At 52.6% G+C, this 14930-nt stretch overlaps 1 protein-coding gene across 2 annotated transcripts in view, besides 5 other annotated features; it reads left to right on the top strand.

The window, feature by feature from the left end:
• ZCCHC24 (zinc finger CCHC-type containing 24) overlaps nt 1-14862 on the top strand; it is a 63300-nt gene extending 48438 nt beyond the window's left edge. For both annotated transcript variants that reach the window (NM_153367.4, XM_011539452.4), the window contains exons 3-4: nt 2747-2911; nt 10729-14862. In NM_153367.4, the coding sequence (NP_699198.2) occupies nt 2747-2911; nt 10729-10842 (279 nt within the window). In that variant the 3' untranslated portion in view covers nt 10843-14862. The remainder of the gene's footprint in view (nt 1-2746; nt 2912-10728) is intronic.
• Nucleotides 5872-6372: a transcriptional cis regulatory region, noted in NCBI's record as "chr10:81150571-81151071 region (GRCh37/hg19 assembly coordinates) targeted for CRISPR interference". NCBI's record gives its function as "positively regulates PPIF gene expression in LPS-stimulated THP-1 monocytic cells {active_cell/tissue: THP-1(+LPS for 4hr)}" and the evidence as "EXISTENCE:mutant phenotype evidence [ECO:0000015][PMID:33828297]".
• Nucleotides 5872-6883: a biological region, named in NCBI's record as "H3K4me1 hESC enhancer GRCh37_chr10:81150060-81150645". NCBI's record gives its function as "regulatory_interactions: PPIF".
• Nucleotides 6298-6883: an enhancer, noted in NCBI's record as "H3K4me1 hESC enhancer chr10:81150060-81150645 (GRCh37/hg19 assembly coordinates)". NCBI's record gives its function as "activates a minimal SCP1, AML or CMV promoter by ChIP-STARR-seq in naive H9 embryonic stem cells {active_cell/tissue: H9 hESC(naive)}" and the evidence as "EXISTENCE:reporter gene assay evidence [ECO:0000049][PMID:30033119]".
• Nucleotides 6528-6637: an enhancer, noted in NCBI's record as "active region_3646". NCBI's record gives its function as "activates an Ori minimal core promoter by ATAC-STARR-seq in GM12878 lymphoblastoid cells {active_cell/tissue: GM12878}" and the evidence as "EXISTENCE:reporter gene assay evidence [ECO:0000049][PMID:35858748]".
• Nucleotides 10197-11124: an enhancer, noted in NCBI's record as "H3K4me1 hESC enhancer chr10:81145819-81146746 (GRCh37/hg19 assembly coordinates)". NCBI's record gives its function as "activates a minimal SCP1, AML or CMV promoter by ChIP-STARR-seq in naive H9 embryonic stem cells {active_cell/tissue: H9 hESC(naive)}" and the evidence as "EXISTENCE:reporter gene assay evidence [ECO:0000049][PMID:30033119]".
• Nucleotides 14863-14930: the final 68 nt, after the last annotated feature.

Raw genomic sequence — 14930 nt, 5'->3', positions numbered from 1 at the left:
ATCAGGGTGGTGTTGGTGTCACTTTCTAACTTTAGATCTGCGCACTCAGCACGTATGTCCCCTCTTAATGTTTTGTCTGAAATTCTAGCAGGCTATCACCAAGTGGTAGTAATGGCGCCTGGGACAAAGAGGCATGATTACTAAAGGAAGAAACTATGTACCAATTTTATATACCACTTTTTGTTCTACATTAATAAATAACAATGGCATTAATATTCCTGTTTTGTCTTCTGTGTGCCAGGCACTGTTCTAAATGTTTTGCATTTACTCCTCAGCTCATTTAATCCTCAGAACAGTCTTATATGGTAGTTACTATCCTTATCCTTGTGAAGTAACTTGCCCAAGATCACAGAGCTGGGATCTGGATCCAGAGCGTGTGCCCTTAACCATTATGCACCACTTCATAAATGGGCAGTTCCCCAAGGAAAGTTACTATGGCAACATCATCTCATAGCCCAGCACTTCTTTAACGTAATGGCATATGAATTCTCTGGGGCTCTTGTTAAAATGCAGTTCTGATTCTGCAGATCCAAGGTGGGGCTCCAGACTCTACATTTCTAACAAGCTGGTGGTGCTGTCGCTGTTGGTCCGGGGACCACACTTTGAATAACCACTGTGGAGAGCCTGCATTTAAGCCTCTCCAACTCAAAGCCTGCGAGGGCCTAGTAGAGAACGTAAATTCAGCTCTAGTTGGTGGGAGCAGAGGTGATGTGGAGGAAGCACGTGCATGCAAGCTGATGGGGCAGCCACTCCTTAACCTCAACCAGCAAGGATTCTAGACCAGTGTGGTCGTATTTCTGTGTGAAATCTCCCATTTGCAAATATTAGGGTAACTCATTCAACTTTTAAGAACACTTGCAGCTTGCACGTGAATGTTCATAATAGCATTATTCATAATAGTCAAACATTAGAAACAGCCCCAGTGTCTATCATCTAATAAATGGGGTAATAAAGCATGGCATATCCATACAGTGGAATATTATTTGGCAACAGAAAGGATTGAAGTGCTGACATATGCTGTAGCATGAACAAACCTTGAAAACATGACACTAAGTGAAGCCAGACACAAAAGGACAAATGTTGTATGTTTCTACTTATATTAAATACCTAGAATGGGGAAATCCGGACAGACAGAAAGTACACTAGTGGCTGCCTAGGGCTGTGTGGGATAAGGAAGTGGGAGTAGGATGGGGAAGGACTATTACTGGGTATAGGGCTACTTTTGGGGGGTCAATAAAAATATTCTAAAATTAGATTGTGGTGATGACTGTATACTCTGTGAATTTACTTAAAACCAATTGATTTGTCCACTTTAAATGGGTAAACTGTAAGATACATGAATTATATCAGCAAAGCTGTTAAAATAACACTGTGTGGGAGATAGCTAGTTTCTTTCATATATAAAATGCAGTTACAAATCAACAAGAAAAATATTAGGCTATTCCTGCATGAAAAAAGAATCACAAAAAGTATGAACAATTAGTTCACAAAGGAAACACAAGTGAGTCTTAAATGCATGGCAAATTCACTCTTGCTCATAATAAAAGACATACAAGTCAAAGCTCCTCTGAGAAGATTTTCTACCTTTTAGATTGGTGATAATGAAAACTCTGTTGATGCTGATATGGAATGTTAAGTTGGGATACCTGCAGTATGTGGGAAGAAGGGGCAGTGGCAATTTGCTCTTTAAAAATTAGTGGTGCTCATACCCATTGACCCAACAATTTCACTTCTATATTCACAAATACACTCACACATGTGCAAAATGATACATATATGAAGTTATTCATTATAGCATTGTTTGTAATAATGGGAGAACAGAAACAAGCTAGATGTTCTAAAATAGTAACTGGTCAATGCACTACGGAGCTTGCATGGACTTATATTGTGTGCACCTGTTAAACAGAATGCAGTAGCTCTATTTGTAGTTATGTAGGGAAAACTCTAAGATGTATTATTCAGTAAAAAAAAACAGTAGCCAGGCACAGCTGTATGCACCTACGTAGCCCCAGCTACTCAGGTGGCTGAGGCAGGAGGATCCCTTGAGCCCAGGAGTTTGAGTCCAGCCTGGCCAATATATCGAGACCCTGTCTCGAAAAAATAAAATAAGATAAATCTTTAGAATGGAAGATGCAGAACCAGGAAGATGCAGAACCAGATGGATAATCTGTTTCCATTTTCATGAGGGAAAAGAATGTATGTACAAATGTGCATGTCATATGCATCTGTAAATGCAGGGCCCGCCTTTGGAGTGGTGTGAGGGAATTTAGATTGCCTCCTAGTAGGGGAGCTGACTGGGTGCAGGGAGGAGGAAGACTCATTGGCACTGCCACCAGTTTCCGTGCTTGTATTGCCTCTTCAATGACCCTTTAAAGCACACTGCTGGGTAGGCCAAAGAGTGCCTGTGTGCAGGCCCATGAGACCAGCTGCCCTTGATGACGTGTGAGTTAAGGAAGTAATTTCCAGCCACCATTGAGTACTTTACCCCTTAAATCTAGAAGAGACGTGCGCCATCTCCTCTGTTTTTTCACCATCTCCTCTGTTTTCTGTTCCCTATGTGCCTCCCAGCCTTCGGATTCCCGTCTGTGCTCTGGGGATGACCCTGGTATTATCTAGACTGGGGACAAAAGGTGCCTGCACACATGGACACAGGACATGAAGACTGAGGCGGAGGCCAGGGGAACCCTGTGGGGCATCATCTTGGCCTTTGGACTCCAATCCCCTGTGTTTGCTTCCTGCCCTGTAGGCACGCCCCAAAGGCGAGGGCCTGACTCCATACCAGGGCAAAAAGCGCTGCTTCGGCGAGTACAAGTGTCCCAAGTGCAAGAGAAAATGGATGAGCGGGAACTCCTGGGCCAACATGGGGCAGGAGTGCATCAAGTGCCACATCAACGTGTATCCACACAAGCAGGTGAGCCGGGCAGGCTGGGGCCTTCTCAGAAGGACCGCGGGAGGGCAACTTTTCCCTTACCGGACCTCAGTTTACTCCCTCCTACAAGGGAGATCTCTCTAAGTTGACCCTTTCTTTCCTTGTCTCATCTGAAATGGGAGGGAAGGGAAGGGAAGGAGGATGATGGGGCAACTGCACCAAGATCTTGAGACCAGAGAACCCCGGGGAATTGTAAAACTAGTGAACAGGGTGTGCTGTTGTGAGACAGAGATGTGCGGACAGCAGGAAGCAGCAGAAAACTCAAATTTCCTTCCTTGATCCATCCAGTCGGCCAGTGTCAACAGGGTGGCTGTGTGCACCAGGCCCGGGCATGTGGGAGGGGTAGGGCCAGCTCCTCCTAGGAAGGTCTTACCTCAGGCAGCTGCACAGGGAAAGCCACTCAGAGGAGCTGATGCTGACTTGGGGACCTGGAGGATGGGGGGAAGCTAGGCCTATCACAAGTGGGGGGCTGGCCATCCTAGGAAGGGGGCACAGCAGGTGCAAATGCCCTGAGGCTGTAAGGACTTGGGGTGCTTCAGGCCCACGGTTCAGTGAAAGCGCAGGAGAGGGCAGCAAGAGGCTTGGGGTAGAGGGCTAGATGGGGCAGTCACAGAGCCCTGGGGGCACTCGAGGGACCCAAGAGCAGCAGGGCTTTCAGATTCATTTTAAGTCAGTTACTCTGGTTGTGTGCAGAGATTGAGTGTGGAAACCAGTGGGAAAGCCAATAGCATAGCCTCATGTGAGCTGGGAGGGGACTGAACTCTGGAGGTGGCTCTGGAGCTGGATGTGACACCAAGCATCACCAGATTGGTGGTGGAATGTGGGGGAAGAACAGGAGCCTAGGAGAACAGTCCCACCCCAGGCAGGCTGGAGCACCTGAATGGATAGAGGAGGTCGTTCCTGAACTGGGCAGCCTGGGCAGGACACAGATGTTGGAAATGAAACCAGGGGTCCTCTGATACAGGTTACATTTGAGATGTTTGCAAAAATCCAGTTAGAGATGTCAAGAAGGCAGTTAGATCTGTAATTCTGAAGCTCATGTGAGAAGTCAAGATGGCCCAAATGTAAGTGGGTGTCATCAACCTAAACGTAGTAGGGAATGGATTTGAGTTCCTGCAGAAAGAATGTAGACAGAGTAGAGAAGGGATTCCCTAGACCAAGTGATGCTGAATCCCAGTGTTTGATGGTCAGATAGAGGAGGAAGACCCAGTAAGGAGAAGGAGAACCAGGGGGTGTGGAGTCCTAGAAGCCTGGGGTGGGGTCGGGAGAGTGCTGTTGGAGGCTTGGCTGGTGGTTGGTGCTCAAATGTCAGGTATAGAGACCACAGAGGAGTGCCTTAGAAATCTGGCAATAAGGCGATGGTCCTCAAATTTTACAAAGCAAAACAAAAGCATTACTTTTACATGGGGAACTTGAACTACAACCAAGGTTTGAGAAGCACAGAAGCCCGGCCAGTCAGGCATGAGGGTGAGAGTGGAGGTGCTGATTTGTAGCTGGCCTGAAAGTCAAGGCAGTGTCCATGGAGCAGTGTTAGGGGAGGCTGGTGTGGATCTGGCTGCAGAGGGAATTGCCTCATTGTCCACTCTCTTGAGGAGAGTTTGATTGTTGAGAGAATCACAGCAGTGGCCGCAACTGGGAAGGAGCCCTTGGGCTGGGTGTTGTGGAGATAGTAGAGCTTGGAGCCCAGTGCAGTCTGGTGAGAATGATCTAGAAGACAGCAAAGGGCTGATGGTGCAGGGGCAAAACGGGGGATGCTTCACCCATCGGCACAGGAGGGAGGGAGAAGAGGGGGTAATTAGGAAGTTTCATGGGTTGGATGGTGCAAAGAAGAACCTCACATCCAAGGCTTCTGTTTTCTCAGTGAATGGGAGACAAGCGGGCTGGGGCGGGCTTGAGGAAGGATGAGCAAGGAAGCAGCCTGCTAGGGAAAGCTGGCTGGACCACCCAGCCGCATCCCAGGCCCAGGGAGGTGTGCAATCCTAATGCAGTGGCAGGCATCAGCCTAGTTCCGTGACTTGCTCCAGCACAGCTCGCCTGGCAGGTGCAGGCCAGGCCTGGTGTACGGAGGGTCCACGGGGCAAAGGTTGGCTGGGCGAGCACTCCAGAGGGCAGATGGTTGGGGGGTGGGCCTATTTGTAAAAGTATGATGACCGTGCTTCATCGTGGGGCATCGGCAGGGAAGGGAAGCTAGACGGGACCGGTGGAGAGGGAGGCCGGGTGGGCCTGTGGACTGGGTGGAGTCTGGGAGCCAGTGGAATGGAAGGAGAGAACGAGGGGGCAGAGATGGGTGGTTTCTGAAGAAGCCCAAGTCTAGGGTGTGGCTGAGGGGTGGTAGGAGGGAAAGGTCACTGTCGATGAGGTAGTGGGGGATGGAGGAGCCAGGGGTGGGATGGGCCATCCATGTGTACTGAGTCACCGCAAAGGACAAGCAGACAGAGGAGGCAGGAGGGGAGAGCGCTCCGGGAGCTACTGGGGGAAGGCTACCCTGAGGGAGAGATGTAAGACAGCTCTGATGGGGTAGAAGGTCAGTAGACCGGGGGCCCGGAGGATAGCTTGGAGCCTGGAAGGGCAGATAAGTGGCCTGGGAGGGAGCAGGGGAGGAGGGAAGGCAGATAATGGTGGCTGGCTGGGGGCAGGAGTCAGGAACAGCCCAGTTTCTGCAGGGCCTCAGATGTATGGGGGCTGCTGGGGTCTGTGCTGACAGTCCTGGGGGCTGGGTCCTTACGACCCCCACTGTGACTTAAGCAGAGAGACAGGGCCCAGCCTGTGCACCAAAGCCCCACAGGAACCCAGTCTCCGCAGTGGCTCCAGCCCTCAGCCCCTGCCCCGATACTGCCCCAGCTTCTGGCTGGGCAGGGCTCCTCACCATGCCCCTTCCACAATGCCAGGCCCATTCCTGGCTTGTGTCACCATCCCCAAGCTGGCAACGGCCCCACCTGCCTCGCCATCTCCATCCTGCCAAGCTCAGTCCCAGCACAGCTCCCTGACCACCTGTCCCCCATCTCCACATTCAGGATCAGCTCTCCCAGGACCCAATCTAAAGGATCCCTCAAGAGTGTGTGGCTGGGCCCTTCCCCTCTTCCAGTCATTAGGCCACTGTTGAGCACCTACTGTGTGCACTGGGGACACTGAGGCCCCAAAAGGAGACAGGACTTGAGTAGTCAAGTGACCAGTGACCAGTCAGCTGGTGTCAAGGGGCCCTGGAACTCAGGTCTCCCACCGCCCAGGGCTCTATCTCCTCTCCTGAGCTCCCAAGCTGGGAGGGGGTATGAGAGTGGTGCCTCTCTATCCCCCAGCTGTCGGGAGCCTTTGAAGAGCCCAGCGGCGGTGCTCCCCATGTTGCCCCGCGGTGGAGAGGGCTGGTTTATTTCTCCTGCCCCACAGAGCCCTGACCTGTGTGGCCTCCGTCTCTGGAGAACCCCCCACTTCCCCACTCTCCTGGCCGCCACATCTGCTTCCTGTCGGCCTCCAGCTGCAGCTCCCCCTACCGACTCCGGTCCCCTCAAGAAGAAAACACCACTGGGCCTTGCCTTGCTGCAGGGAGTGGGGGAGGCCCTCCACCACAGTCAGCCCCAGCTGCAGAGTGTTTTCCGTCTGCCGAGGGGAATGTCTTGACAGCTTCCCCAGGCTCCTCGCCCAGTGGCAGGCCAAGCAGGGCTGAGCAGTCGAGCCAGAGCCCGTGCCCACAGAGGGAACTCCCACCATGGGGTCATGGCCAAGGAGGGGGCACAGCTCAGATGAGCCCAGGAGGGTGCTGGCAAGGATGTTTCAAGATCATTTCACCCGGGACTTCGCTGTTTCCCCTGCCCCCATGCTGCCCCTAACCCTATATAACACATGATACCAATACTGGCCAACATTTTGAATGCTCTCTATGTGCCAGGCACTGTTCTAATCCCTTTGCATAGACTAATTTACTCTTCACAGCAACCCTATCATGTAGAGTTAGCCTACAGACTTAGCCCCCATTTTATGGAGGAGAAAATTGAGTCCCAGAGAAGTTAAGTGATTTGCTAAAGGTCACACAGCAATCACTAAGTCTTCTGGAGCTTTTTATGGTTATAAAATACTTTAAGACAATCATCGCAGCTGGGCACAGTGGCTCATACCTGTAGTCCCAGCACTTTGGGAGGCCAAGGTGGGAGGATTGCTTGAGCCCAGGAGTTCAAGATGAGCCTGGTCAATATAGTGAGACCTCGTCTCTATAAAAAAATTTTTTTTAAACAATTAGCCAGGTATGGTGGTGCATGCCTGTGGTCCCAGCTACTTGGAAGGCTAAGGTGGGAGGATTCACTGCACTCCAGCCTATGTGAGAGTGACCCTGTCTCTAAAAAAGACAGTCAGCCAGGCGCAGTGGCTGATGCCTGTAATCCCAATACTTTGGGAGGCCAAAGTGGGTGGATCACTTGAGGTCAGGAGCTCAAGACCAGCCTGGCCAACACAGCGAAACCCCGTCTCTACTAAAACTACAAAAATTAGATGGATGGTGGTGTGTGCACCTGTAATCCCAGCTACTTGGGAGGCTGAGGCAGGAGAATCACTCGAACCCAGGAGACAGAGGTTGCTGTGAGCCGAGATAGCATCACTGCACTCCAGCCTAGGCAACAGAAATGAGACTCTGTCTGAAAAAATAAAAATAAATAAAAAATAAAAATAAGACAGTCATCTTATTTACTTCTCTATCACACAGACACACACACACACACACACACACACACACACACACACTAGGAAAAAGTCAGTGAATGTTATTAACCTCTCACCCAGATCCCAAAAGGGCAAGTTGAGGTTGTGGAGGAGAAAGATCCTTCCCAACAGCCCTTAGCTGATAGGCGGCAGAGCTGGCATGCAAAGCTCTGTCTATCTGACTTTGGTGATATCATGTCATATGGAGACGTTGCAGAAGACACCAGACACAGAGTTTTCCAGAACAGTCTTCAAAACAAGCTGGCAGTGACCCCTTCAGTCTCCATGGAGGTTCTGCCCTCAGTCCTGGGCCTGCAAAACCTCTGTCAGCCCCAGAGATGAAGACTCAGAAGGCAGATGCCAGTCAGGGTGGGTGCAGCTGGCAGGTGCCAGTGAATTCCCAGGGGAGAGCGCTGTGCCTGTGAAGACACGTTCCCCTCCATCAAACACAGGAGGGTGCTGCCCTGGGGACAGAAAGCCAGGGACTCAGACGGGCTGGGAGGGAGTGCTGCAGTCTGGGGTGGGCACTGGTCACAAGCTGGCCCTGAGCCCCAATACAGTGTAGCCAGTGGGGCCAGCTGCAGGCGGTAGGCAGTATGTCCCTGCAGTGCAGGGCTTGGAAACAGCATGTGTGGCTTTCCAGCCACCCTACCTACCACCTCCTCACTGCAGGCCCCAGGGATGTCCCTAACGTCTTGGAGCCTCAGTTGCCTCATCTGTGGAAACTCCCTTCCCCATATATCTGTGACCTGTTTCCTCCCTGTGCCACTCACAGGGAGGTGGTGACATTAGGTGGCGACATTAGGTGGCCTGACTTAGGTGGCAGTACTTTGCCACATAATGTGTAAGCCATGGGGAGTGAGGGTTGTGTGGGGCCTGCTGAGTCTGGCCTTTTTGGCCTGTCCTGGAAGACTGGGTCCAGGAAGAGGCCCTGGCCAGTCAAGGGGGTGGGGGCTGCAAACCAGCTTTGTTTTGGTGTGCTGGAGGGGACACTTCACGACTGTACTGATCAGACCGTCCTTTGGGAGCCAAGCAGAGTCTGTGTGGCTGGGATCTCCAGGATGAGGTGACAGGGACCCAGATTCTAACTCAAGGTGGGAAGTCTTCTTACAGTGCAGGCAGTAAACTGAGCGGTGGGCTCTGCCAGCAGGCAGCTCTCCAGCCCTGAGGGCACCCAAGCCCCAGATGGAGGAGCTGTTGGAGGTCTCCCTGGGACGTCCAGGAAAGCAGGGAACGTGCCCTTCCTAGGTCCTTTCACCTTGGGATCTTGGCTTAATTTTGATAGCCCTCCACCAGCTGGTGTCCCCCTCCCACCGATAAGACAAACGACAGACAGCTTCTGCATGCCGGGCTGTTTGTATTCATTATCTCCATTGAGTTGTCTGGTGAGAACAAGCCCATGAGAAAGCTGTTATCAGCATCCCTGTTCACAGATGGGAGCATGGAGACCAGAGGGGACAGGTGGCCTGCCCAAGGTCACACAGCTCTTAGGTAGCAGAGCCGGCATTCGAGCCCAGGTCTGACAGGAAGTCCAACTCCTCTCTTCCCTGGCCAGGATGAAAGCTGGACAGGGAAGCCAGTCACCTGAAAGCCTCTTGTGATGTGGTTGACGTGCCTGTCTTTCCCTCCAGGCCTTGGCTTTGTGACTTTAAGCCTGGGAGCACAGGGATGGGTTTTATGACCCCTGGGCCAGGGGCAGAAGGGTGGTCCCTGGATCAGAACCCTCCCACCACAGTCTCCCCACCTGCCTTCTAGAACCTTCTGACTCTTCCATTCCCAGACCGCTCTGAGTGTCCTCTTGGGGCCAAGACTGTGGATTGGGTGGAGAAGCCAGTATACTACTTTTGAGCCATTCACAGCCTGGCCAGGGGGACAGAGCACACCCTCTGCTGCCCTCCCCTGTCATCCGGGCCATGGTCTGCAGTCCAGGTTCTGCCCCCTCTCCTGGGCATGTGGCCCCAGGCTGGCCCTGACCAGCTTCCTGTGAGCCCCCCATGTCCATGCAGGGGACCCTTCTGCAGGCAGGGGCTCCAGCTGAACAGAAGGCAGAATCCCCGTGAGCTGGCCAAGAAAGCATCCACTCAGGAGCTCTTCGTCATAGCCTCCATAAATTCTCCAGGGAAACAAGTCTTCGCCAGCTTTGGAGAGTCAGGAGGGGAGGAAAAGAGCGAGCAGGGAAGCTCCCTCTCTAATAGAAATGTGCTCGTCTGTGCCTTCCGCTGTCCAGTTCACACACTCCCAGACGTCTCTCTGGATCCTCCCAGTCCCCTGCAAATGAGGCACTGTGAATGGCCCACTTCACAGATATGGAAACGGAGGCTCCCTGCGATCACCCAGTGAGTGTGTGGCAGGACAGGCCCGGCAAGTCACCTCCCTTCTCTGGGCCTCAGGTTCCTTGTTGGAAAACTGAGGTTTCATTCATGCAGCCTCAACAAATAGGGCACTGGGCCGGCCCTGAGATGTGGGGGTCAATCAACACTCATGGAGCTCACTCACCACAAGCCCGAAGCACTGTGACTGTGTCCGGGTTAGGCTTCCCTTGAGTTCTGAGGCCACACAAGCAGGGCTGCGAGTGGAGAGTGGCCAGGGAAGAGGCGCCGGATGCTGGGGTCGGGAGATGTGGGTCCAGGCCTCCGTTGCTGTGGGCCTGGGTTTCCTCATCTGACAGGCTGCACCCGTGTCCTGCCTCTAACCTGGACTCACGTGAACTTCAGGTGCTGGCTCCTCAGGCAGCACTCAGGGCAGAGCAGAGCAGTGCACATGGCCAGGGTGCCAGGTACAAGGCCCCTCCACAGCCCTGGCCCAGCCTAGGGCCCCACCTGTGTGCCCTAGGACTCAGACGCCTGCATGCGGGCTCAGGAGGAGGGCCCCGGCACCGTGGCTGAAACAACCTGTGACCACAGGCGCCCTCTCCCCACCCCTCATCGGGTGTGTGTCTCTCCCTCACTGTGTCTGTCAGTCTCTGTCTCTGCAGAGGTGTGCCTCTCTGTCTGGTCCCCTCCCTGTGTACCTGTCTCACCTGTCTGTCTCTGTGTGTCTCTCCCTGTCTGTCTCTGTGTTTCTGTCTTTCTCTCCCCTCACTCCCCTGGGCCCCTTCCTCCTTCTCTCTGCAGAGACCCCTGGAGAAGCCCGACGGCCTGGACGTGTCCGACCAGAGCAAGGAGCACCCGCAGCACCTCTGCGAGAAGTGCAAGGTCCTGGGCTACTACTGCCGTCGCGTGCAGTGACGGGCTGCCCGCCCGCACCCAGAGCCACCCCCCGCCAGCCCGAGGAGACGCTGCTTCCCTGTGCTACTCCGAGGGGCTGCGTGTCGCCCTGTGCATGGGGTGCCCTCGCAGGCCTGCGGGGCTGGGCCGGGGGCTCTTAGCGTCCTTGTCTTGTGTGTGTTGACAAACAGTGTTACTGACATTGCTGCCCCCCACAGGCCAGGGAAAGCAGGGAGTCTGGGGCTTTTTGCAGGCGGGCCTGGGGTCTCAGTGGAGGGGACAAAGGCAAGCAAAAGCCCATGTCCAGGAGCCCTGGGTGTCCCCACAGGCTCGCCTCTGAGAGCCTCTTTGGGGTGAGCAGCCTTGTATTGGCCACAGGTGCACTAAATTGACTGTGAATCCCAAACCTCCCCAGACCAGCCAGGCCGCCTGCCCCCACCCAGAACCTTCCGGTTTGCCCTGTATGGAAAGCCACTCTCAGAAATCCCTCTTTCCTGAGTCAGCAATCGTGGCAAGGGGACATGTGTTCCAACAGCGGCTGGGGAGTGGACCTCTCTGTCCCTTGCCCACCTTAAGCCCCAAATCCAGACCCCCTCTGACATCACTGGCATTGCACCTGGGTGTGCCCCCCTCCCCACGCTATGGACCCAGATAGGAGGGGTTAGGCATGGGGGAGGCACAGAATGCTGGAGAGATGCGTCCTGGTGAACGTGGGGCAGCCCCTCCCACGACCCCCACCAGACTGCCTTAGGTTTTGTCAGCCCCACTCCCTTTCCTTCCCCTCTGCCTCCCACCCACTCTGGGGGTCCACATCAAGATAGCTGGGCCCAGTGTGGAAGCCCAGCGTGTCTGTTCCAGCAGAAAGGACACAAGCCTGGTGTTCTGGAGACCTCGGCTCAAGTCTTTGCCCTGCTGCCGACGCATTGTGTCACCTTGGGCAAGGACTTCGCATCTCCAGGCCTCAGTTTCCCCATTAGTTAAATGACAGCATAACACTAGAGAGCAGAGGGCCCATTTCAGCTCTGTTGTTCTGGGATTCAGGCTGGCCGGTGCTGTGTCCTGGAGCTTTATTTGGGGAGTTTCACCCAGAATGGTGGGAGAAACCTCCCAGGTGCCAGGTACCCCGCATCGTGACCCTTCACTTGGTGTCTTAGGAAGTCAAGCTGAGGGATGCTGAGTCCTCCCCTGCTGGCCCCTGCAGCCCCAGCCCTGCTTTTCATCCCCCACCCCTGCAAACATGGAGGAGCCCCCTCCTTCTCACCTCGGTCTCCTAGCCCCTGACATGGAGAACCCTGAGACAAGCCACAGAACCCCTCTTTTCTAAAATGGAGACAATAATTTCCTACCTCCCAAGGGAGCAGAGAGGCCTCGTGGCACGTCCGTGGCCAGGGAGCCCACTGTCCTGGCTGGCGGCGGGATCGTGCGCTCCTCTGTCTCCCGGATGAGAAGCCCCGTTTCCATGGTCTTGACCCTTCCTTTCTCCCGGCTGTCAGAACTGGGTCTCTTGATTTTGCCCCTACATTATGCCTCTGTGGGAAAAAAAAAAAATCAGACCAAGAAATGAGCCTGAAATTCAGTGTTTACCATGGCTCAAGGATGCCCATCTGGTGTCCAGTTGCCTTTTGTATTCAAATGAAAATGCTTTGTACAACTGAGGAGTTACAGTGAAGTGTTAACCAGGGGTCCAGGGAGCGAGTTGAAAAGATGGAGTGAGTGTATTTGCAGCCAGGGAGCTGCAGGGTGGATTTGAGGGGCCATACCCTCTGAGCACTTAAAAAAGGTATTTGCTCCAGGCCAGGCAGCAGGCTGTGGACACCCTTGCCACCACTGGGGACTGCCACTGAGGACTCCCCGAGCACGTTGTTCCCCGTCTTCTCCAAGGTGTTGAGGTGAGCTGGGGTTGGCCCCGGCCCAGGCTTCTGTCCCAAGGAGAAGCTGCCACTGACAGTCATCCTACCGCACTGCTAAAGAGAATGTTCGCAGTGGTGGGCGGCGTGCCTGTGCCAACCCTTCCAGGGACCCGGCCATGGGGGACCTTGGCCCAAGGATGCCTGGGGCCTGCCAGCTGTGCTGCAAAGGTGGGGGGCCCACACCCTAAAACTAACCCAGGCCCCAGACCACTGGAGGCCAGGGCTTCCCTGCACGGGCTAAGGGGAGTTGGGATATCACCCCAAAGTGACCTTGCCAGTGAGCTGTTCAGCAGGTAGCCACTGCCCTGCCATCTGTGCAGAGCCAGCCACCTTGGGGGCTGGGGTTCCCGCTTTGAGGCCCACCTTCCATACTCCCCTTGACTCGGCTCTGGCTGAACTGGGGAACTCTCTTGTGGTCAGCAAAGCCCCTGCCATGCAGGCCAGGTGCCATTGAGAATTAAGTGCTCAGAGGGCCAGGAGCCCAGGGGATGGGAAAGTGTGTGGTTTTAGTACGTTCAAAAGGGACAATCGCTTGCAGTTGGTAGATCTAGCGATCTAGTTGGGAGATAATGGTGTTTACCCCATATGAAGTATTCAATAGTTCTACTTGTGAATTTGTATTTATTTTGAGTTATACTTGACACAGAATTCCTTTTTTAAAAAAATATGTGTGTATTTTGGAAAAAAAATTCATAGATGTTAAAATTTCTGCATGGTTACCAGTTTTTCTCACAACACTGAATTTGGTAGCTTTTCCCGAAAAAATCTTCACAGTAATTTTTTGTCTGTATATATTTGAGGGCCTTTTTTTAAAAAAAAAAAAAGAAAAGAAAAATATAATTGTTTGATTTTTGAGATTAAAACAAACAAAAAGAGAGGCATTTTCAAAATTTCAGAACTTTCAGGAGGGCAAGAGAATATCAAACAAAGATTTCTGGAAGTATTTTGCCAACCTTCTGGTTGAGCTGCAAGAAAATATTTATGGTGAGAACTTTTCTGTTTCCCGTTATTGGGTTTTTGGTTGGTTTTTGTTTGTTTTTTACTATGCTTTGGTCTGTAAAAATATGCAACTGAACTACATTCAGAAGGAAATATTGTCTACATAGAATATTATATGAAGTTGGTACATAATTCTGATGAGGAAAAAAAATCTTTGCAATTCTTTAAGCCATATTGTTGTTTTTCTGTGTTGTTTTCCCTGGATGAAAATATCAGTATTAAGTAGACAGCATATTATTCAAGTGTTTAGACTTATTAATATGTTCTTGTCCTGTATTTATACATATGTGTATTTTGGAAAGTATTGCCTTTTTTAAGGGAAGCTATAATTCGATACATAGTGAAAAAGGGAATGGTGACCCCTTTGTGCCTCTTCCACTGAGGATAACAAACAGCATTGTAATCCATTCTCTTGCACCTTCTTCTTCTTATCTTGTTATTACGGTTTTATTAATTTTGTAGAGGGACAGGGAGTGGGCAAGGGGAAGAAGCAGCTTATTTGACTAACCAGCCCCTCTGTGGTCCACCAGCGTCTTGGCTTGGTGGGAGGGCTCTCAATCAGCAGGGCCCCAGGAGGGAAGAAGAAGTGGGGCAAAGCCTGGCCTCGCCGCTCGGGAGCTTTGCCATCTGAGCCACGCCTCCTCCAGGCCATGCTCCTTGAACTTGGAAATGTCAACCGGAGCCCTTACACCAGCCCTCCAGCATCTAATAGACTTGAATCTACTCTAAACGAATATTTAATCCAACCTCACTACATTGTAGCTCAGTCCAACGACTAACCCTGAAATGGGGGTGTTCCAGCCTTCAGCGAGATGGCCAAGCGGTCCCCTGGGGGCTGTGGCAGCGGGCTTATCCTTCTCTGTTGCCAACCTTGCCGTCCGACCTCCTCCGCCCCCATGCGGTGACCCCGTCCGTGTCTGTGTCTGTCCATACGTGTGAGTCCAGCTAAAAAGACAAAACAGAACCCGTGGGCCCAGCTCGGAAGGTGCGTGGAGAAGGCTCCGACGTCTCCGAAGTGCAGCCCTTGGGATGGCATTCCGTTGTGTGCCTTATTCCTGGAGAATCTGTATACGGCTCGCCTATAGAAATATAGCCTCTTCATGCTGTATTAAAAGGACTTTTAAAAGCAAAAGAGGCTCACAGGTTTCCTTGTTCACGCAAGCATGTAGGGAGGCTGGACTCTTTCAGAGGCAGGAGACG

Source organism: Homo sapiens, chromosome 10 (genome assembly GCF_000001405.40).
Source record: "Homo sapiens chromosome 10, GRCh38.p14 Primary Assembly".
Lineage (NCBI taxonomy): Eukaryota > Metazoa > Chordata > Mammalia > Primates > Hominidae > Homo > Homo sapiens.
This window is presented reverse-complemented; position numbering and strand designations above follow the sequence as displayed.